Source organism: Homo sapiens, chromosome 4, assembly GCF_000001405.40.
Source record: "Homo sapiens chromosome 4, GRCh38.p14 Primary Assembly".
NCBI classification, from domain to species: domain Eukaryota; kingdom Metazoa; phylum Chordata; class Mammalia; order Primates; family Hominidae; genus Homo; species Homo sapiens.
In genome coordinates, this window is record NC_000004.12 from 182,181,554 (window position 1) to 182,204,222 (window position 22,669).

At 39.2% G+C, this 22,669-nt stretch overlaps 1 protein-coding gene across 21 annotated transcripts in view, besides 3 other annotated features; it reads left to right on the plus strand.

Annotated features, from left to right (window-relative positions):
* TENM3 (teneurin transmembrane protein 3) overlaps window positions 1-22,669 on the plus strand; it is a 1,355,412-nt gene that overhangs the window by 733,941 nt on the left and 598,802 nt on the right. The window lies entirely within an intron of this gene.
* Window positions 7,675-8,176: an enhancer, noted in NCBI's record as "H3K4me1 hESC enhancer chr4:183110381-183110882 (GRCh37/hg19 assembly coordinates)". NCBI's record gives its function as "activates a minimal SCP1, AML or CMV promoter by ChIP-STARR-seq in naive H9 embryonic stem cells {active_cell/tissue: H9 hESC(naive)}" and the evidence as "EXISTENCE:reporter gene assay evidence [ECO:0000049][PMID:30033119]".
* Window positions 7,675-8,944: a biological region, named in NCBI's record as "MED14-independent group 3 enhancer GRCh37_chr4:183110451-183111650".
* Window positions 7,745-8,944: an enhancer, noted in NCBI's record as "MED14-independent group 3 enhancer chr4:183110451-183111650 (GRCh37/hg19 assembly coordinates)". NCBI's record gives its function as "activates an origin of replication core promoter dependent on BRD2, BRD4, P300/CBP and CDK7 cofactors, and independent of MED14, by STARR-seq in HCT116 cells {active_cell/tissue: HCT116}" and the evidence as "EXISTENCE:reporter gene assay evidence [ECO:0000049][PMID:35650434]".

Below are 22,669 nucleotides of genomic sequence, written 5' to 3' on the forward strand. Positions count from 1 at the left end.
TGTAATATTCTGGAAGGAAATTACATCATATAATATAAAATCCTAGCAGTTTGACCCTGTGGTAGATGTTTACTTTAAAATAGTTAACTGATTTTCAGCAGAGCCGAGTGGTCATTCTCATTGACTTACCCATAATGTGCAGAACACCTTTGCAAATTCAAGATGACTGTTTACAATATAGGTATTATATGTTGTTAGATTATTTATCTTCAGCATTGCTTTACTTTCATAGTGCATTTGGTAAGTGTCAAATTATAGTATACTGCATAATCAATCACTGATATTTCATAAAAAATAAATCAGTTGTAAATGTTCCACTGTTTCTGGCTAATGTCCTGTTTTTTTTTTTTAATTTTTGTTTTTAGTTTTGTTTTTGAAAAAATTCGATAGGTAGTATGTCCTTTGACTTTAAAACAGGAATGAGTGAGCACATGCCCATATGTTCAGGATAGAAACAGTTTTCTGACTGATATAAGGAAATTCTAGCATGCATTTTTAAAATTATCTTTCTTCTATTGGGGAATTGTTGCTGATGGAAAACACTGCAGTGTCCAACTGGATGGTTGTATCCACCTAGATCAGCAATGAGAAAGGATAAGAAAATTTCAGACGTGATTTTAACAAAGGGCGGGGTGTTTTCTGGGATATATCATTTCAAGGGCAGCCCGTTTTTTCAAGAATCTCTTCTATTATTCTATGATGCCAATAGAATTTCATTCTGATTTTGGGTGAATGAACTACCGCCTATTAAAATGTTAATATCTACTGGTCAGTTATTTCTAAGCTTGAACTTAATGTTAAATACCAAATTTTGTCATGTATGAAGGGAAGAATGGATTCAGGGTGATGAGGCACAGAAAATATGAAGGCAAGGATTTCTTGGTATCAGCAGAGGGTCCAGGAGGTAAGATAAGGGCACTAAATGGAAAAATGGAGGGTCACCTTGGAATGGTTCTGATACAGGCATAGCGTATTTCTGCACCAGGAGAATGACTTATCAGGTTATATGCATCTCTTGATGATCTAATTATTCTAAATGACAGAAGTATGAGCCTGCCTGCTAAAGCAGTGATGTCTAAGGCCATGACTTTGAACCTAGACGCCCTGAGTTATCAGCTTAGTTCCACTGTTTAACTGTTGTGTGTTCTTAAGCAGGTAACTTCTATGAACCTCTATCTTTACCCCTCTAAAATGCCTGCCTTATCAGGTTGTTGGAAGGATGAAGTTAGAGTACACGTGTAAAAAGTACCTACAAGGCACATTGTTAGTTATTTTAAATATCACTGATTTTTATAATTATCCAAATGTTGCAAACAAACAAGTAATACAATTTAAACTCAGTGTACCAACAGTCTATTATGATTAGCTAAGGAAGACCCTGGACAAACCCTTTTTGGAACATGGAATTTGAATTAAATACTTGGTTAACTTTTATGGTATACAAAAAATAAGACAACATGGGTAAGAAGTATATGTTTACAGGACAAACTCTTTGTTCTGGTTAGGAGAAATATACATCAATTTGATGAGAATATTAGATGAAATTGGAGGAACAGTTAATTTATATTAGCAACTGAAAAAATAGGGAGTTGCAGAAAATTAAGGGTGAAATTTGGTTTTCAAAGATTAGAACAGCATTTTATTTTATTTTGTTTCTTCTTATTATTATTATTTATACTCTTCCCATAGCTCAGGGAAAGCAATAGAACTGCATTTGAGAAGAAACCAGAATTTTTTGAGAAACACTGAAGGCTACTTTAATCAAGCCAGAACCCACCTAGAAGATGTTCCACTGTTTAACCAGTTATTTAAAGGAGTGCTTGCTTTCATGCTCAAAGGAGCTGGAGCTGAGGGCCTAGTTCATTTTTCTTGCTTGAGGAAGGGACCTTGATTATGATTCATTCGTATGCAGTTGCGGAACCAAGGACTACTTTGGGAGAAATAATTTCTACTCCCGTGAACTCAAGGGAAGTCTCCAGGAATGATAAGGAATGAATTGGGGAAGGATAATTTCCTTTCCTTCTTTTCTAGTTATTCCAGCTGAAGTTTAACATACTGAGAGACCAGATAACATATGTCCATTTTTTATCAGCATTTTCGTTTTTACTGCGTCCTCAACCATGTGCACATTTACAGAACTGTCCCAAGTAGAAGCATACTAAGATTGTGGAAGTTATTTCTGAAAAAGCAGCTAACCTTATCTAGATCATATTATATTAATACCACACGTACTTATTTTACATATTTGTTTTTTATTCAAGTGTTCTAGTTTACTTGGTCTTTTACATTCTAGTCTTCAGTGGGGAATAAATAGCAAACATATGAGTATTCTCAAATGTCTGAGTTTAGTAAAGTTAAAAATATATTCTATATTAAAACTACAAGTGGCCTTTTCTACATTTATATAAAAAAACCAATAGTTATATGTTTTCATCTTGATATAGAAAGTGGTAGGTCTGTTTTATTATTCCAAAAGAAGCATTTGGTAAGTTTTGTAAAAAGCTGACCAGCAGTTTGATTCCTCAACTTCAAAAAGTTTAATAATATTATAGCAGCTGGTTAGAAATTACAGCAAGAGTACTATAGGTTAGACAAGCAGAGATTTTTGTACAACAAAGATTTTTAAGCAGGCTGTACTAGAAGATTATTACAAATTCATTCCCAGTAGATCTCTAGGTTTCTAAGACTGAAATTTCTGGAATAGAAGTTAATCAAATCCTTTTATTGAGTACGCAAATAATTCCACTGGGCCTCTGGGGAGTTACATAGGATGTTTCTTTCTTTAAAGAGTTTTCAGTTTGATATAGAAGCAAGATAAAATCTTATGAAAGCACCAAAAATTTCCAAAAATTGCCCTTTCATCACAGATGTAAGCACTTAATAAAACGCATTTGATGATGCCAAAAATAAATTACAACTATGAAGAGATGCATGGTTGAGTTTTTTTTTTTTTTTTTTTTGAGAAAAGGAGTGGATTTCTTATTGCTTTAATGTGAATTTTTAGTGTCTGAAAAAATTAAAATGTTTTAAAATTTAGCCAAACCTTTTCAAGATAAACATAGCCAGCCTACTGCTATGATTTGTCATATAGGACCCAGTATTTTCTGTCTTGTGAAGGAGATACAGATGGAACTACCTAGCTAATCCTCACAGAGAAGAAATGAGATAGTCTTGATGAGTAGAAAGATTAGTCTTTTTTCTTTCTTGAGCTAAAATTATTTTGTTATAATCATGTGAAAAACCTCTATTTTGGCCGGGCGTGGTGGCTCACACCTGTGATCCCTACACTTTGGGAGGCCGAGGTGTATCACCTGAGGTCAGGAGTTCAAGATCAGCTTGGCCAACATGATGACACTGCGTCTCTACTAGAAATACAAAAAATAGCTGGGCATGGTGGTGGGCGCCTGTGATCCTAGTAACTCAGGAGGCTGAGGCAGGAGAATTGCTTGAACCCGGGAGGTGGAGGTTGCAGTGAGCCGAGACTGCGCTACTGCACTCCAGCCTGGACAACAAGAGCAAAACTCTGTCAAAAAAAAAAATCTATTTTATTCAGACTTTTGGAAGGAGGACAGAAGCTGTCAAAAAACGGATTGCAAATGTGGCTTGGGGTGTCTTCCATCAGTCTTAAAATCATCTCATTTACTTTCTTTTATCGACATAGTCATCCAAGCAATGTAACCTATTTTCTCAGTTCTATTAACTTTAGTGCCATCTTCGGCTTCTGATCAGCAACTGAACAAAGTTTTAAGTTGAAGGCACCATAGCATAAATAGAGCGTTCTTTTCAAGCACTTATCACTGTTTGAACAGAAACTGTTTTACATATTCTTTACAATGATCTGTTATTTAGACTATATTGGGAATCTGATCAAAGGCAGTAAGTCACTCTGAATCTTTGGCTTTTATGAATTTAAGCTCAGCATTTGAGCAAAGAACTAAAAAAGAAAAAAAACTTTCATTCTTACCTAGACAACAAAGGCCTTTTAGTCATTGCAATCTTGTTAGTCTTTTCTGAGTAGTCTCACCAGACAGAGAGTGCGTCAGTTACAATTCCATCATTACTCTTTCTAACAGCCCTTCAAGCCTCCTGCTCTTCAAAGTAGCACAGAGCACTGTATGTACTTGGTCCCACCATTCAGAGCCAGAAGCTGAAACAAAACGATGCCAGCTGACTTTAAGGCAATTTCCTTCCCTCTGTGGAAATTTCTGCTTCTTCTGTTGAATCGATTCACTGAGTAAAACTTGACCTCTTGTAATAGTGCATACGCTTCGCAGTGTGCCAAAGTGATTCAAAATGAAACAGCGGTTGTACATAGAAAACATGGAATGTCCAGCTTAGTTTGAAAATGAAAATGCCTTTAAAATCTGCTTTTCTGTTAAGAGAACTACATTTACCAATACATTAGATTTTTCTGCTCATTCTAAGATAATTAAAGTAATGGATTCTAGCCTGAACGATAAGTATAAGCACATAGTTAGGCTTCCTTTATATATATATGGAAACTGAAATGGGAAAATTACACAATTAATTAAAAGAAAAGAAAAACTGTCTTTGTTAAATGGTGTTTTTGACCTCAAGTATTACAATGATTGTTTCATGTGTTCAGGTTCCTATGTGTGTGCACACTCATGCAAGTGTGTGTGCATGTGTGTGTGTACACAAGTCCACAGGAGATGAAACATACTCATATTAATCTTTTGTCAATAATTGTTAAAATGTAGAGAAAGTAGGTTAGTAGGTTGATGGGGCCAAGAGATGAAAATACTTGGATGAAACTGATATATGATCATGTTTAAAATATATAAAATATATACATAGTTTTAATTATTCCTTTTACAAAATTCACCTGTTTCAACCATAACTTCTAATATGTATATATCGATGTCTTTGAATTCAGAGAGAAGGAAAATGTGTTTATATTTTTAATAATAGAAGATAATTTGCTTGTTTTTAATAGGAGAAGATCACTTACTTTGCTGGAACTTCTTACATTTATTACATGTTATTTACCGGAAAGTAATGTTAAACCATGTCTATATGCACAGAAGGAGTAGATTTCACACAGCCAATGTATTGACTTCTGGATCAGTACTGATCACTGCATTTGTCTTAATTAAGTGCTAATTCATGTCAGTGAGATAGATGGATTTTTAAAAACTTCTGTTTATCTGAGCTTAGATACTTTGGGTAAGAAATATACTAATGCATCATATATATATATATATATATATATATATATATATATATATATATATATATATGGTCCTACCCTGTTGAATAATTTGTGTTAGACACCTCATTTCTCCAGATTTTCTAAAATTCAGGCAGTTGGTGTGAGGGTGGAGGTAGGAGGTATTGGCAGAGATAGCACCGCTTCTTCAGATCTCTAATAAATGTAATTAGTTCAGTTTTATGCTTTGCCTTTTTTTAATAGTGAAGTGATTGTAGTGTAAAAAGAGCAGTTGTTTGACTATATTATTTAATTCAACAGACTTTTCTTCCCTATTCTTTAAAAAGAAAAGCAGTTATTCAAAGCATAAAAAGAAAAAAGAGATTAAAAATAATGGTCTGTAAACTTTGCAAAGTACATAAGAAAACCTCATTAATTCTGGGTATTTAAAGTATAAACAAAATCTAAAATAAATATGAGAAAATACAAGAACAGAAATCTTTTGAAGAAAAACAACATTCTAAATTCATTCTAGTTCTTTTCTTAAATGTATTTGGCAAATAATTATAAACAAAAGCAAGACTATTATCAGAACTCATGTAGTAAATTTATTAAGACCAGATGCTTTCCTATATGACCATGTTGGTGGAGCTGTTAGTAGCTTTAAAAGATTATGTTCCTCTGGGTACCAGCACTGTCCTTCTTTGAGTCAAAGGAGGTTAAAATTTTTGAAGGGGATAGTAAATTCGCCAACTCTCCCCAAATGAGGACAGACATCCAAATGGGAAAGCCTCCTTCTTAGAAACCTTTGTGCCCCCCTCCCACCCGCTTTTTTTAAAGGGCAGAGCTCAGAAATGGGCATGCTCATTTGATGAAGGCAGTGCCATGATACCAGAAGCCATAAAAGGAAAGAATTCTTTGGTTGAACAGAAATTAATTAGGAAAAAATGAGGAAGAAAAGAAAAGCTCTTAAGTCAGTGGCTTAAAAAAACGTTCTAACAGCTGTAATATGAGAGAACATACTAACACATTTTTTAATATAATTATATGAAAAAGACATTTTTATATTTCCCTCTTCTAGAATAAAAAGAGTTTTTTGTCAAGCAGTAACAATTTATTCCTTATGGAAACTGCTTTATTATTGTCTGATGGCCACTTTAGATCCATAAAACGAAATGGATTAAAGAAAATTAAACAGTATTTTTAAGTGTCTACAGCTTGTGGCATGTTAACAGCAATCTGTGTGAAACAGTGCCAAAAATTAAGCTTAGGTTTCCAAGACCTTTCTGTACTGTGATACAGTGTTTAAATACTAAACAGAAAGTTTGTTTTGAAATACAATTTTGAAGGTCTCAATAATTTGGAGGAGGTAAGATAAGATACAACCAAATGCAAATATATATATGTTATATATTAGCATTATATATATTTCATTCCGCCTCACTTTGTTATAGTATTTGAAAACTTTGGTAAATAAAATGAGTGCTTTTGAGAGTCAGAAAAATTACATTCTAACCCAGAATTTATCACTAATTGTGACCTTAGTAAGTCACTTAAACTCAATAGACCTCAGTTTCCATATCTGTAGATGAGAGGATTTGGATGCCTCTTCTCAAATCTCAAGGTTTCTCAAGAAACCTTGAGCATCCAAGTCATCTTCTGACATTAAATTAAACACCTAGATTCGGCTCCATATGTCTCAGGACAGTTGATCCCCTAATCTCGTGCATGTCTGTCACAGGTGTCTAACCTACCGTAGATGAATCTCACACATTGCAAAGACTAGGTTGAAGTTGATATTTTTTGGTTTTGTTTTCATTTTAAAATTCCAGCTCCTGCAGGATTGAAGTTGGTCTTTTGAAGTGGGTCCAGTATGACTTTGTGAGCTATTCTGTTCTTTTGTATATTATTAAATGAGTGAGTAAAAGTGGCAAAAAGTGAAAGATCATGATTTGACAGTATCACATGGTCCGGGTATCAAAATGCTAATTGCAGAAGGGAAGCATGATATGGTGCAATTTGAGTCCTCTACTCACTAGAGCTCCTTGGGGCAAGGCCAGTAATAGTCTTCTCCAAAGCATCTGGCCCTGCCCAGTCCTAGAGATGTGCAGTGAACATGTACTGACTGACTCATGTCCACTTTGCTTGTCACGTGCCTCTCTGTGCCATGTTAATTTTAACCTAGTTGCTGATAATTCAGTAATATTTTAAAAGCTGTATAGTATAATTGAGAGGATTATGTTAAATATTTTAATATTTTGATTTTAATCAAAATATTGCGGCCTTTAAAAGCTGTAAGACTTTGGGTGAATGAAAGTAAATAAGTAAATGGAAATTTTTGTAATATTAAATAATCAAAATATAAAAATTAATACAATTTTTAAATGTATTTTTTGTATTCACTGAAATTTATTGTGAGTTATCAGTGCTATTCATCTATTTTTTCACTTGATAAAGTGTAACAGGTGACTTTGATGTGTGATTCTTGGTGGCCTTTCTTCTCCCGGTGCTGGAAGACTATGTAACTCTAGCTCAGTGAGATTTTTCTGGATTAAGTGGGTATGATTGCTCAAATGTCACCAGTACATCAATCCTTTACTCTTCCGTGTCATACAAAAAATATTCTGTGAAGCACAGACTCCATAATGAGTGGACGATTTTCACTCTACATACTACATCCGTAATATTGCAGCCAACCAGAAACACCAAAGCTTATACTTATTTAGATGTATGCACATAAGAAAGTCAAAAGTTAGGGGGAAAGATCCACTGGGAAACTAGATATGGAGACTGTGTAGCATCTGACCTTGAGACAAGAAGACTGATGTGGGGCGCGGCACAAACTCCTGGGCTCATTTCTGAGGCTTTTCCAGGCATATGTCTGGGTGAGCATGGTCTCAGTTCGCCCCCACACATCTCAGAAGTTGGTGGTCTGGAAAACTTCCAAAAGGGTGTGGACTGCAGTTTTTGAAGAAGCATAATTAGTCATGCCCATAAATCAGTAGGCGTGTGGGTGTGTGTGTTGGGGGTGGTGGGGGCCAGGCTGCATGAGTGTGCTCAGATAGCCCTGGCTGGCCCACAGTGGTGGCCTTCCTGAGAACTGAGTAGTGCCAAAGTCCTTTCTATCCAGAATTATCTCACCTATTTAGAGCCAAATTTATGCGTAAGGCAGACATCTGCATCTTTGAAAATACAATTTTGTGGATTTTGCCTTTAGGGTGGTTTTTGTTTGCTTGTTTTGTTTTGGGAATTCTAATTTTCTTACGAACTGTTTTCTCGTTTCCTTTAGAAAATCACTGAAATGACTAATGAGATGGGAAGATGAACAAGTATTATATTTTGAGTTCTTTCCTACACTGTCTCATTTTCTATAAACATACTAATGCATGCTTTTAAATTGTTAATAAATTGGAGTTTTGCTGCAAATTTAAAGAAAAAGAAACATTTCCTCATTTTGGTCTTTCTTTTTTTGCCCTTACACATGAAATTCTAGATCTCTGGAAGGGACTCAACAAAGCTTTCCTAAATTAATTGGCTCTGACGGTACCTTCTTAAGGATTTCTGGTGTGGCTCTGACATATAAGCAACTCAGATAACTACAGAAAACTGTGTGTAAAAATCAGCCCACCAGTATTTGAAACAAGTATGCACTGTTCTTTCTGCGTACCTCCCGTCTGAAACCTTGCGCTAACAGCCGGATACAAGTACAATTTCTGGCTCCTCATTCAGTGAGGTTAGAATTGGACGTCCTCTAAGTACCTCATTTCATGTGGTTCATGATAGCAGAGTGCTGCAACAAGGTTTACAGGACGACGGAAGCCAGTAATCCGTTTATAACTGTACTCCCATGACAATTAACAGACCAGTGGAAATTTGAGAACCACATTTACCTGGAGGGGTCAAATGTAAATGTCCAGATTGTTTCCAAGCTCTGACTTTTCTTTTTTTTCTCCCATTATACTATGTCTTACTAAATAACATTTTTTATTGAAAACAATTAAGGGCAATTTATGATCAGTGAAATAACCCTGGCATAATTCACGTTTTGCCCACACAAAGAAACACATTGAAAATGGGGGCAAGGGGCATTTGAGGATCCTGAAAGTTCATGTTATATTGAAGAAAAAAATTATTTTCATGTCTCTTACGCTTTGAAATTATACTCTGCTTCATATCCCTGATATTGGTATAGGTCCAAAAGGAAATATAAAATTACTTGTCTATTTATTGAGTACCTACTGTGTGCTAGGCCCTATCCTAAAATCCAGATATCCTGGTTAACCATTTTAGCCCTGTGTTACAAAATTCCAGTTGATTTCTGTTCAGAGCAGTGACAGGATTTTAAAAATGTATGCTTTGAAATTATTTTATAAAAATTTTCATTTTGTGATTAGAGTATTATTAAACTTGGGTGATAAAGATTTCAGCTTTACTGAAATGTCATTTGTATAAGAAGAGCTTGCATTTTGGGGCATTCATTTACGTAAAGATTGAGTCCAAATTTTTCAGGGTAGCATTCAAAGCTCTCTTTAATATGAATCCATCTTTATTTCTTGTCTACTGCCAACTCATCCTTTGAGCTATTCAGAGGTTCTCCTTGACCCCTGGAATCTGTGTGCCTCCCACTCTTTGCCTTTTCTCCGGCTCTCTCCTCTGCTTAGAATGTCCTTTTTTGCCATTTCCAGTCAATCACACACCCATGATTACCAGACAGTCTCAGATGCCGCCTCCCTTAGAGTGTCAGGCAGATCATCCGTCCCATTGCTAATTCTTCTCCCTTCTCCTTACGTACATGTTACATCTCCCTTGCTAAACTTAGTGCGGTTAGTTTTATCTAGAATTTTTTTTTGATTCTTTTAGGATGGTTAGAGCCTAGGTATTAGGAGCACTGCCTACTGGTTTACCATTACATCATATGTACTAATAAATACTTAACAATTTTTGTTGAAATCACCATGGACTCCCAGCCTTCCATGCTCAATTTCACCCTGAATACTCTTAGCATGTATCAGGGACTCTGCTATCAGCCAGAGATCTAAAGCCCTTTTTACTGGGATTTCCTTTCAGTGTTGTACGTGAAATAACTGTGTTGTCTTCAACTAAATCGTAACTGCATTTTAGATCACAGATTATCGCTGATCTACTTTTGCATCCCCAGTTGGTTACTGTTTTAATTTTATAATTGTATGAGCCAATACATCATTCTGTTATTTATTACATAATTACCGTTTTAGAGCAAGATGCAGCAAAGTATGGTCCCCAGGTCAAATCAGCCCTGCCACCTATTTTTTTTGTATGGCCTGCATGCTAAGAATGATTTTTACACTTTTAAATAGAGGGGAAGAAGCTCCGAGAATAATATTTCATGATACGGGAAAATTATATGAAATTCAAATTGGCATCCACAAAGAGTCTGATTGGAACACCGTTGCACCCATTTTTTTTACATCTTGTCTGTGGCTGCTTTCATGCCAGAGACACGACAACATACATACGTAGCAGAGTTTAATAGTTTCTACCGAGGGTCCACAAAGCGTAGTTACTATCTGGCTCTTTACATAAAGTCTTTCAACCATGTTGTAGAGTACTTAAAACTTATTTTCTTAGATTGTAAACTCTTTGAAGACAAGGAAGGACTATCTTTGTATCTCCCATTGCCCTTTCAAATTTATGGCTCTCTGGCACTTTTCAGTATTTGTTTATTGACTGGTTTTTGATGTATTCGCTGGAAGTCAGGTTTGACCACTGTGGAAGATCAGGCAGGACTACTGAAATTTGTGCCTTTCATTAACTGGCATACAGTGAACGTCAACAGAGAATCAAATACTTTTTGGCTTACAACATGTTGATTATTCTTGGGATAGTTTGGCTAGCTTTCTGGTATGTCATTCTTTCATGTTTTACAGAAAATACTAATTCTCACTTTGCAGTGTGGTTTCCATTTATTCCCTAGGGTGTTTATGCATTAGTTTTGATTAATGGAATGTTTTCTCCTTTCCCAAGATAAGTGTGGGGGATGCAACCAATCTAAATTGCATCTGGTGTGTATGTAGGGGTTGAACAACTGCTTTGTGAGTTAAGCACAGTTAAGTCCATGGATTTGGTAAAAAATAAGTAAATAAATAAAAAGGCACTGGATCTTTCTTCTGCATGCCAGCCACAAAGCTTTCCTAAACTTCTGTCTGTGGCTAGAAAAATAAAGACTGGATGAGAATTCCTGTGAAATCTTGTTCTGTGTAGGCATATGTGCTGAACCAGCAATTACTCACCTAATCTTCCTATCATGATGGTGTTTTGTGTGCCTGCTGAACCTAGCAATAAGCTTTCCAGTATTTCTTTCATCATGAAGTTAAGGTAAGCATTGTGTATTCCCATGAGTGTATTATTTGGCATGAAGTATACACCATCACAGGTTTGGAATTTGAGGAACCTAGGAGGATGCTGTTGTAGAAAAGTATGTTTCATTGATAAACAAGGTTCTGAAAAATGAATGGGGAGAATATGTCACGAGTATAAAAATGTGTGTAACATTCATTAAATTGTTTGTTAAATAATGTATTCAGACTGACTGTGTTTCCCAGCCTCTCCTTTGCCCGTTATATGTTCTAGTAAATTAAAGCTCGGAAACCTTTGTCAGAGTTATAATACTCAAACTGACATCTAATTCCCCCGGACAATAGGTACAAGACTGCGAGCCTCTCTAATTCTTTCCAGTCTTTACATTTATTGGTTCTTTTGTAGACCTGTTTCATTCAATCTATTACAAACAGCACTGGTTAAAAGTGTGAAGTTTACCACATTTGACCGGAGGCACATTAAAAAACAATAGCGTCCTGGCGTACATTCCATGCGTCCCAGGGGTATAGCTCTTCATCTGAGCAGCATTTTCATCTATAATTACTACATTAGATTTGAAGTGCTGGCTTGATTAAAAAGATTGACATGTTTATTTTTTGGCTGACCTATTTGGGTAGATGTGGATTTGATTCATCTGTTTTGTGTGACCCTGTGTTACAAAGATGTTATTAGTTGAGCAAGAATCATGTTTTATTTTGGAGTCACCATTTTAGCATAGATTTGAAATGCTTTTATTATAGTTACATAAGAAATGGTAAAAGTTGAAATTTTTTAAAAAAGAAATTATGTGTGCACTCACCCAGGTATCATAAATAGAAATGTATTTCAGAATGGTTTTCAGAGTTCAGTATTATTGAGATTGTTATTGAAACGTTTATAAATACTGCATCAAATGGCGTCCACAACTTCATGGCCTACGTTAAAAAGCTTTCACCAGAATTAACATAATCTATTTTTTATTGTGCACCATTGCTCAGGATTATGCCTTTTCTACACATCTGATGTTGTAAAACATATTGTGTAAATAATTGATAATAAACAAACAAATTCTACTTTTGCCCTGGTGTACTTCACCAGTTTCAAGACTTTGAAGTTCCTTAAATAATTTATGGCACTTATTAGTGCAGGCAAATCAAATGGTATCCTTGATCCGAGCTGCTTTTTGTCCTCGTTGTTTCTGAGCAGAATTGTTAAGTGAGCCTTCTGATTGGGACGAAGCTGAGTACCGCTGAAAATCACTGTGGCATTCATGCTGATGTGTACTGATGCACGCGTGTTGCCAAACCTTCGGTATTTACACTAATGGAATTCGCAGGGTTACCGGAATATATTCTGAAACTAGGAATTGATGTATCTTTTGAGAAAGAGAAAAACATCTTTTCACCAGCACGCTTTTAGTTTACCTATAGCTTCTTCCACGACGCTTCTTAAGATGAGGATTTCGCCTCAATATGCACTCCTTGGCTAAGATACAAGCCTGCTGAAAAACATGAACCAAAATATCAAAAGACAGATTATGTGATCTTTTTTTAACTCATAAAAGCTTAGGCAGCATGCCAGCCAGCCAGACTAAATACTCTGCAATGGTACAATAGTCTTCCTTGGGTGTGGAAAATGTAACCCTGTGATGGGAGACAAGTGAAGTTTGAGAAGTTATGAAAGATTTATGACAAACATTTTTTTCTCCTCACGGTCTTCCGTGTTATTTATAATTACATGAATCTTAACCAGAGGTTTTATTGATTTCATAATGAATTCAAATAAAGATTGCAGCTCCTCAGCGACCTTTAAAGGTTAGACTGGCTATGCATGTTTTTTTCCAAAAGTTTTTGTCGTGATAGAATTTATTTTTTACCATGGAAGTATTCAGACATAGTAGGGTCACTTCAGACTGTAATTATCACTGCAAGGCTTATGAAATAAGTGACCAACACAGTCTCTATCACACACACACACACACACACACACACACACACACACACACACACTTATATATTCAGAGGACTTCTTTATAATAGTTCTATTCAAGCAAGCCATGTAGGAGAAATGTTGTCACTTTTGTGAGGGCATATAACATGAGCAACCTATAATGGATCCCTTTTTTTGGTGTTTGCCATCTCTTAGAGAGATTTGATTTGCAAAGGAAGCCCCCAAAACGTGCCTGTTATCCACACGACCCTGTATGTCTAGGGCAGGCCTTGATGGCTGATCAACCTGTCTTGAAGTGAATGAGGGAGAATATTTTAACGTGGAATGCCACCTTAAAGCATGACTTTAAAAAATATCTTGAGGCTGGGCCTGTAATCCGAGCACTTTGGGAGGCCAAAGTGGGAGGATCTCTTGAGCTCAGGAGTTCAAGCCCAGCCTAGGCAACATAGCAAGAGCTCGCCTCTACAAAAAATAGAAAAAATTAGCTGAGCATGGTGGTGCACGCCTGTGGTCCCAGCTGCTCTGGAGCCTGAGGTGGGACGATCCTTTGAGCTGGGGAGGTCAAGGCTGCAGTGGGCTGTGGTCACACCACTGCACTCCAGTGTGGGTGACAGAGCAAGACTCTGTCTCTTAAAAAATATAAAAAAACCTTGAAATAATAGTATAAATACAACTTCGCTACACTCAGTATTAATTACTAGTCATAACCCTAAATTAATTTGTCAATATGCCATGTAAAGACATTTAAAAAGAAATTCAAATGCCAAAAAATAAAAGATTTGTACTCGTTATAAACATTAACTCACTTAACTTCAAACACTAATTATTACTATTTATGAAGGAAATCATGGCCTCCATTATATTCTCAGAAAAAAAAATTCTCTAACCTTGAAAATCTATCCGAGGCTCTGGCTAGACCTCAACTCCTGCAAGCAGCTTGTAGGTTTGAAATCAATAACCCTTCTGGCAACTTCTTTTCAGGGCCAAGATTAACTGCCCTAGAAAGAGAACTTATCTTGGATTGAGCTTCAGAAAGGAGCTAACAGTCCTCTTTGGGCTGTTTTTCCCTAGTGTCTCACTGCTTGGAGTCTCCTAAGCATTCTCCCTGCAGGACACCAGGAGAAAAGAGTGTTTTCATCCCCACGCCATCCCCCGTGCGGAGTGAATGTACCTGGGCTGTGGTAGACAGCACACCTGCCTACCATTTCCCCGGAGTCTCTTCCGCTTGAAGATCCAAACCAGTGGACATGCTTTTTGGACCGAGTTGCTAAGGATCATCTGTTTCCTAGATGTAACATTCAGATGGTTCAGGAAGATGTGTAGCGTGTCTAGATTCCGGACAGATTGGAAGTGTAGCATCCAGAAAGTCAGTGTGGGATTACCAATTCAGAAGGTTGGTAATTCACCATAGCCACGCCTCATCTGAGAGGCAGGAAGTGAGCCAAGTAGGAAGGGTAAGCCTCTTCTCAAGGGTCAAGGCAAGCAAGTTCTGGGTGGCAGGAGGTAAGCCTGGCCCTGGACACCAGGCGCCTCACCTTCCCCATCTTGTTTTCACCGTCATTGCCCTCTCTGGCTGGAAAGTCTCATTTGAGCTTAAGCCCTCGGGTGTAGTAATGTAACTAGGGCTGATTGTGGAGAGGACCTGTGCCCTGGTTCTGCTGAAGATTCTAGAAGCTCCTTTAACCTTATACTGTGACTTTAAGAAAAGTTGTGATCATTAAAGTTTTTCTTTTTCTTCTTTGTAACATTTTCTACACATTTGAAAGGAACATACCCTGATGTTTTTAAAACAGTCATACCTTGTCAGTTTCACATCTCCGTACCAAAACCCAAAACCTAAAGAGCATGGCTTCTTTTGACTAGAATTCCTGCACTGGTCCTTCTTGTTTCCTTTCTCTCGTCCTCAAATGTGATGCATCATTTCCGGTCATCTTCTCGGATGCCAAGGAGCTCAGGACCTGACTCCTTGAAGTTGTCTTTCTCCTTCTCTGCCATTGTTCACGTTTCCCATCCTCGGAGTTGCTGTTGCATTTCATGTCAGCATGTTACAGTTTCACAATTTAAACTCCTTCTAAAAGTTCTCTGGTTCTACTGATGACATTATTTGTTAATCTATTTCCTATACAAATAATAAGCTGTGTTTCTATTATTTTTGTTGTCTACAAGCTTTTTAACCAGTTACACTGCAGCGGGCGTTCAGTGTTTAACATTGGTTAGCCTGATTTTCCTAAGTGAATTGTTTGCATCTACACTCAAAGCTTGGGGTTAATACCCTTGCTATTTAGTATCTTCTATAGCAGTAGGTTGAAAACTATGCCACGATAACCCTGCCTAGCCATGGAGGGATGTGAGATAGGGAATAGCCAGTTGTGTTTGGGGGCTCCACTCCCAATTTAACAAAAGAAGTTCAGGGGTTTTTTTTCCTCTCTAGGAGTTCATTTCACCATCAGAGGATATTATTCAGAGGATAAAAAAAGTTTCCAAACCACTGCTTTAATTACTTAATAAATACTCAAAAAATAATTATCCCACCGTGGTATTGCATAGGGAAATAATAAGTTGCAGCTCAACAATACAAAAAGAAAAAAAATGTGTAAAGGGCCCTAAATAGGTACTGTGGTAAGAGCAAAGTGTCTTTTGCATATAAATGGTTTAAATAGTGACAATAACTTTAGTTTTGTCAGATTTAGAGCAGCTACCTAGTTGCATATAATCTGGAGTGCCCTTTCAGTAAAGTTTCACAGCTTCTCAGAAATGCGGTGCTGGTTTGTCAACCCTGTTCTCCCACTCAGCAAAGAGATAAAGATCTGGTGGGAAGGGCTCAGTGGCTCACGCCTGTAATCCCAGCACTTCGGGAGGCCGAGGCGGTCGGATCACCTGAGGTCAGGAGTTTGAGACCAGGCTCGCCAACATGGTGAACCTGCGTCTCTACTAAAAATACATAACTTAGCTGGATGTGGTGGCACGTGCTTGTAATCCCAGCTACTCAGGAGGCTGACACAGGAGAATCGCTTGAACCTGGGAGGCGGAGCTTGCAGTGAGCCAAGATCACACCACTGTACTCCAGCCTGGGCGACAGAGTGAGACTCCATCTCAAAAAAAATAAATAAAAAATAAATAAAATTTAAAAAAATAAAAGAATTGGTGGGAAGGCCTAGAATAGGCTTCTGACCCTGGGCCGTTTACTCTGGGCAACAATATCTTCCCTACACATTCTGCAGATTAGAGGTTCATTTGCACGAATAAACTCTCCTTCCAAAGGGAATTCCTGTAGAGATGGCTTCGTTTATCAGCCATTTACACCTTAGGTTGTATTACTTTAATCAAGTAATCAGATTACTTTTACTGAGGGCAGGGACCTTTTGATTGATTGGGAATAAGGTGCAGCACTTTGTGAACTCAAGGCGGTGAGAAAGAGGTGTGCCTCAGTCGGTTGTCAGAGCGACACTCACATCAGGATTGGCTTTGGGATTCAGCCAACCCTTCCAGGTATTGGGGTGAACTGTGCAGCTTGCTGCGGATAGCCCGCTACTTTGGTGAGAAGAGGAAGGACAAATATCATAACACCTAAATTACAAATGGCCCTGGGATGTGGAGCAGTTGGAATGAAGCTGACAGGAAAAGTCAGCGGCAATGGAAATAGGTGCAGGCGACCATTTCCTGACGAGCAGGTGTCAGGTAGTGCGGAGTGGATGCGGACTGTTTTCAGCTCCTGGCTCAGGCCTGGGCTGCAGAGAGACTGAAGACCCGATGATGAAGGACAGAGCAGAGGGAAGCAAAGGAATGACAAATATCATTTGAGACAGGTGTAAAACCATGGTCTGAGACATTTTGTAAAGACACAAGTGGAAATGAGGAAGGAGCTAGATGGAAAAGAGGATTGGGAGGCCTTCCCATAGAAGAAGACAAAGTCAAATTATAACTGAAAAAAGTTCTTAACACATGAAAGAAGAAGTAGGCCCTTGCCTACTTCTGCCTCATTTTGCAAACCAGATGAAAGTGTATGTTAGTAAACTTTGAACAACAAATTTCAGTATAGTTTAGATAGTGTTGGGACACAGTTGAGAAAGCTAGCTGGTAGAAATGCTGCCATAAGCCTAGGAAGTACCGGTGTGGGGACTGAATGGTGTTGACTGATCAGTACTATACCTGAAGAATCATTGCACATTTCAGGCCGGGCACGGTGGCTCACTCCTATAACCCCAGAACTTTGGGAGGCCAAGACAGGCAGATCACTTGAGGTCAGGAGCTCAAGACCAGCCTGGCCAACATGGTGAAACCCCGTCTCTACTATCCCAGCTACTCAGGAGGCTGAGGCAGGAGAATGGCCTGAACCCAGGATGCGGAGGTTGCAGTGAGCCAAGATCGCACCACTGCACTCCAGCCTGGGCAACAGGGCCAGACTCCATCTCAAAAAACAAAAAAAAGAAGAAACATTGCCTATTGCCCATTTCATTATTCAGTATCTTAGGAGCAAAAATCATTGGTGGTTAGCGAGGAAGATTAAACTCGCCCAGATACAATTTTAAAGAGTTGAAAATCGACCCATGAAAAAGTGTGTTTTTGTATCTCTGCTTGTGTTGTTAGAAAAAAATAATAGCTCAGCATTCAGGTTTTCTACAGGTGTGAAAATCCAGGTGCAAGTTTTAAATCACTTGACGTGGTACTATAGATACATGTAACCATAGATGGCTTTGTGGAACATCATTGCTTTTTTTTTTTTTTTTTTTTTTTGAGACAGGATCTTGCTCTGTCGCCTAGGCTGGAGTGCAGTGGCGCAATCACAGCTCACTGCAGCCTTGACCTCCCTGGACTCATATGATTTCTCCCACCTCAGCCTCCCGAGTAGTGGAACTTTAGGCTCAGGCCACCACACCTGGCTAGTATTTGTACTTTTTGTAGAGACAGGGTTTCGCCATGTTGCCCAGGCTGGACTCTAACTCCTAGGTTCAAGTGATCTGCCTGCCTGGGTCTCCCAAAGTGCTGGGATTAGGCATGAGCCACTGTGCCCAGCCGCATATTTTAAGGTATACATTGCTTGGGTTTTATCAGGATATAATTAGTCATTCAGTTTATGGAAAAATTTATATTAAACAGACAGTGGTCTCAAAGGAAGGCTCTAAAAGGTCTAGAAATGATACATAGGGGGCGGAACAACATGGGAAAATATCCGTGTTTCTTGCATAATCATAGAAAAAGAATCAGTCTAAATGGGCCAGTTCTCTTTTACTAGAAATAATGGTGCCAAAATAAAAACTTAGGTGTTAGAAATAGTATTATTGAACCCAAATCATCTTTAAAACTTATTCCACTGACTCAGAATCAAACACTGAGAATAAAGGGTTTAAGGTAAAAGAAAATATATCCAATTCACACTTCAGGAAAATGAAAATACCACAGACCAAGAGAACATTCTTATTGAGCTTTTTTTCAGTGCTCTCAATTTAACCAGCTGGAATTATTTTTAAAGTACATCCAATTCAACCTTTTAAAATGACAGATTTGCCTTTTAATGGGAAATATGTATTTCATCATAAAGACGGAGCACAGTGTCCTTGGCTAAGTTATTCTCTACAGAAGGATGCTCTTTTTTTGTACTCTGTGCTTAGCCTATAAGAAAGAACACAGATTATAGAAAATTAGCTCCTGGCATGGAAGATTAGAAGCATATAGACAGACTGATAGAGAACAATTAAAAATGCAAACTGTTCCTTTCAGTATCCTGAATTCATAGGGTGATGTCAATTGCTATGAAATGAGCCGTTCATACAAACAGAACCAGCCAAGGGGAAGAATAACTTTAGAAACTAGAGTGCCTTTTTTTTTTTTTTTTGAGATGGAGTCTCACTCTGTCACCCAGGCTTGAGTGCAATGGCGCGATCTCGGCTCACTGCAACCTCCACCTCCCGGGTTCCAGTGATTCTCCTGTCTCAGCCTCCCGAATAGCTGGGATAACAGGCATACACCACCACGCCCAGCTAATTTTTGTATTTTTAGTCGAGATGGGGTTTCACCATGTTGGTCAGGCTGGTCTCGAACTCCTGACCTCAGGTGATCCACCTGCCTTGGCCTCCCAAAGTTCTAGGATTATAGGTGTGAGCCACCACGCCCAGCCTAGAGTTCCTTTTTTAATTAAAGAAGAGACAACCACTACTTTAAATAACCAGATAGTACGTTAGAAAAAGTCAATCACAAGCTCTGTTATTTGGGGACTTTTTGGTGTCTCACTCAAGGAACCTCTTAAATCTGTATTCATTTTAATGTTTTTTTCTTTTTTTGTCGGGGACAGTCAAAATCATCTCCAATTTCTAAGGAGAAACAAACAATTCACTGATAACAGTGGAGCTGAATTAAGCAATCTCAGTGTTTAAGTTAGTAAAACAGACACATTTTCGATTAAGATGAACAGTTTCGAGACATAGGCCTGACTGATGCTGTGTGACAGGACAGGATCTGTGAGCTGTGAGTGGAGGGTAAACATTCCAGGACTGTGCAGGTGGGAGAGGGTGAGGTCAACCAGAGATGCTCATTCAAAATCAGACCTTGGGGCAGGAGTTGCGAGCAGATGCTAAGGGAAGGATCCAAGAAGATCCAGGGGTGGGGGCAGCGGCTGGCCAGCAGGAGCAGCGGAAGGGGGTCTGAAGTTATTCCCATGGCAGGGTGGGGGGTCTGGAAAGGCAAGCAGAGCTACTGGAAGCCCCCCTTAGGTTAGAAACAAAATACACATAGCATTCGTCTCATCATGGGGCTCTTGAAGTCAGATATACTTCAGAACCCACTGCCTCTGAAGAACAAAACAAGGATTTTGGTTTGTCAATGGTAGGCATACTTGTCTTATTAATTCTAGTACTGAAATTTCTGGAAAATGTTAAAGAGTCTTTTAGGAAATAGAAAAATAACTATGCATTTTCAGGTATTTTGGTAGAAACACCACCCCAGCATGCTTTATCTACACAGTCTCCAAAGTTCTTTATGTAATCATAGTAACAAATTGGACAACCACTTCCAATATGTAAACAAAAACCCTTGGTATGTGTGAAGCACATTCATTCATTCAACAAAGGAAACAAGCGTCTGGGCCTGTCCCTGTGCCAATGGGATTGGTTAAAAGCAAAATCAGACCAGGAGCCTGTTCCAGTTGACTGGAAAGCCTGAGAGTTTTATAGCTCTGTTTAACTGGAACGTGGGCTTGTGAGTGGGGAAAGAGAGAACTAAAATTCTAAAACGGATTGGAAGTTCCTGAAGTTCCTGGTGAACTTTGAATGCACAACTAAGATGTGTGCACTGCACTTTTTTTTTTTTTTTTTTTTTTTGAGATGGAGTTTCACTGTTGTTGCCCAGGCTGGAGTGCAGTGGTGCAATCTCGGCTCACCACAACCTCTGCCTCCCGGGTTCAAGTGATTCTTCTGCCTCAGCCTCCCAAGCAGCTGGGATTGCAGGCATGCACCACCACACCCAGCTACTTTTATATTTTTAATAGAGACGGGGTTTCTCCATGTTGGTCAGGCTGGTCTCGAACTCCTGACCTCAGGTCATCCACCTGCCTCGGCCTCCCAAAGTGCTGGGATTACAGTTGTGAGCCACCACGCCTGGCCTGAACTGCACTTTTTAATCCCAGGTCCAATTCCACTGCTTCGCTTACAATCTGGGACTCTGCCTCGGAGTGAGGCACAGGGGATCTTGCTGCTGGGTTTGCAGGGCCAGACACAGAATGTGGCAGAGAGAGAGAGAGTGCCCATGACTAAACCTAATCCACAGCTGGGCAGGCAGAGGGGAAGTGCAGGCGGCTCATCCAGAGAACCTGTGCCTGTAAGGGCAGGGCAACATTGTGAAAGATCAAGAGGGCTTGAGGAAGAGGGTGGATGGAAAGCCTACACGATCCCCAAGCCCTGGGAGACAATGTGTCATTATGAAAATGGGCTCAGGCCGGGTGCGGTGGCTCAAGCCTGTAATCCCAGCACTTTGGGAGGCCGGGGCGGGTGGGTCACCTGAGGTCAGGAGTTCGAGACCAGCCTGACCAACATGGTGAAACCCTGTCTCTACAAAAAAATCCAAAAATTAGCCAGGCGTAGTGGTGGGTGCCTGTAATCCCAGCTATTCGGGAGGCTGAGGCAGGAGAATCACTTGAACCAGGGAGGTGGAGGTTGCAGTGAGCCGAGATCGTGCCATTGCACTCCAGCCTGGGCAACAAGGGTGAAACTCCATCTCAAAAAAAAAAAAGAAAAAGAAAAGAAAATGGGCTCAAATAGAATCTTTTGGTTCCTTCTCCTCCACCCAGCTATCACATAAAATAAACTCACACCCCCAACTTCAGGGCCACAGGTAGGTAGCGTGGTAAAAGTTTAGGGCATTGGAGAGAAAGATTAAGTGTTAGCTTCCTTCACCATCCCCTGGCCAGTTCCCAGTCCCCAAAGTGGTAGAAGTTGATTTCTCAAAGAACAGAGGGCAAAGAATGCCTCATGATTTTTGGAGCGCTGAGAGCTGTCTTAAGGTCTTCAATAAATGACAAAGGCAGTTGGGAGACTTGAGTTCCTGTTTCTGGGGCCAAGAGTTTAAGCCAACAGACTTGAGTTGGAGCAGCGGTTGCTCTTCCTAACTCCCTTTCCCCCGCTTTGCTGGGCCTGTATCCTCCCTCTTTCCCAACGCCTCTCCCGCTAACCTGAGAGGGAGAGTAGGGAGAGTTTTGGTGGCTGCACTGGAGGGATTTGCTACAGTTCTTGCTCCATTGGAGTGTCTTTGGCAGGTGGCCCCTCATCGTGGGCACAGCCTCACAACCCTTCTGGAAGGACATCTGCTGCTGAATATCACCATTGCCTGGGCATATGGCCTCAGGCCTCCCTCCTAAACATGGTGGAAGCATACAAGACCTCGTGGAATCATTAAAACTTTTAGAGCAGGGGAATGACAGAAAGAAGGAGAAATGTTTCAAGGAAGTTAATTTCATCCAAGATATAACATGGATTCGAGAAGGGAGGTGTTTCAGAAGCTGTCACCATCAAGGGTAGACACTAATGAAGCATCAGAGCGCCGACAGTAATGGATAGAGGGCTGGATAATGAAGGGGGAAATCAACAGGGCTCAGTAATGAGTTGGCTGCGGGGGACAAAAGAAAGAAAAGAGTCAGAGATTCTGATGAGGTTTTGAGGCTCATTATGATTACGAAATGTAAGGAATCCAGATTTTGCTGGATGTAGTGTGTGGTGATAATGGGCT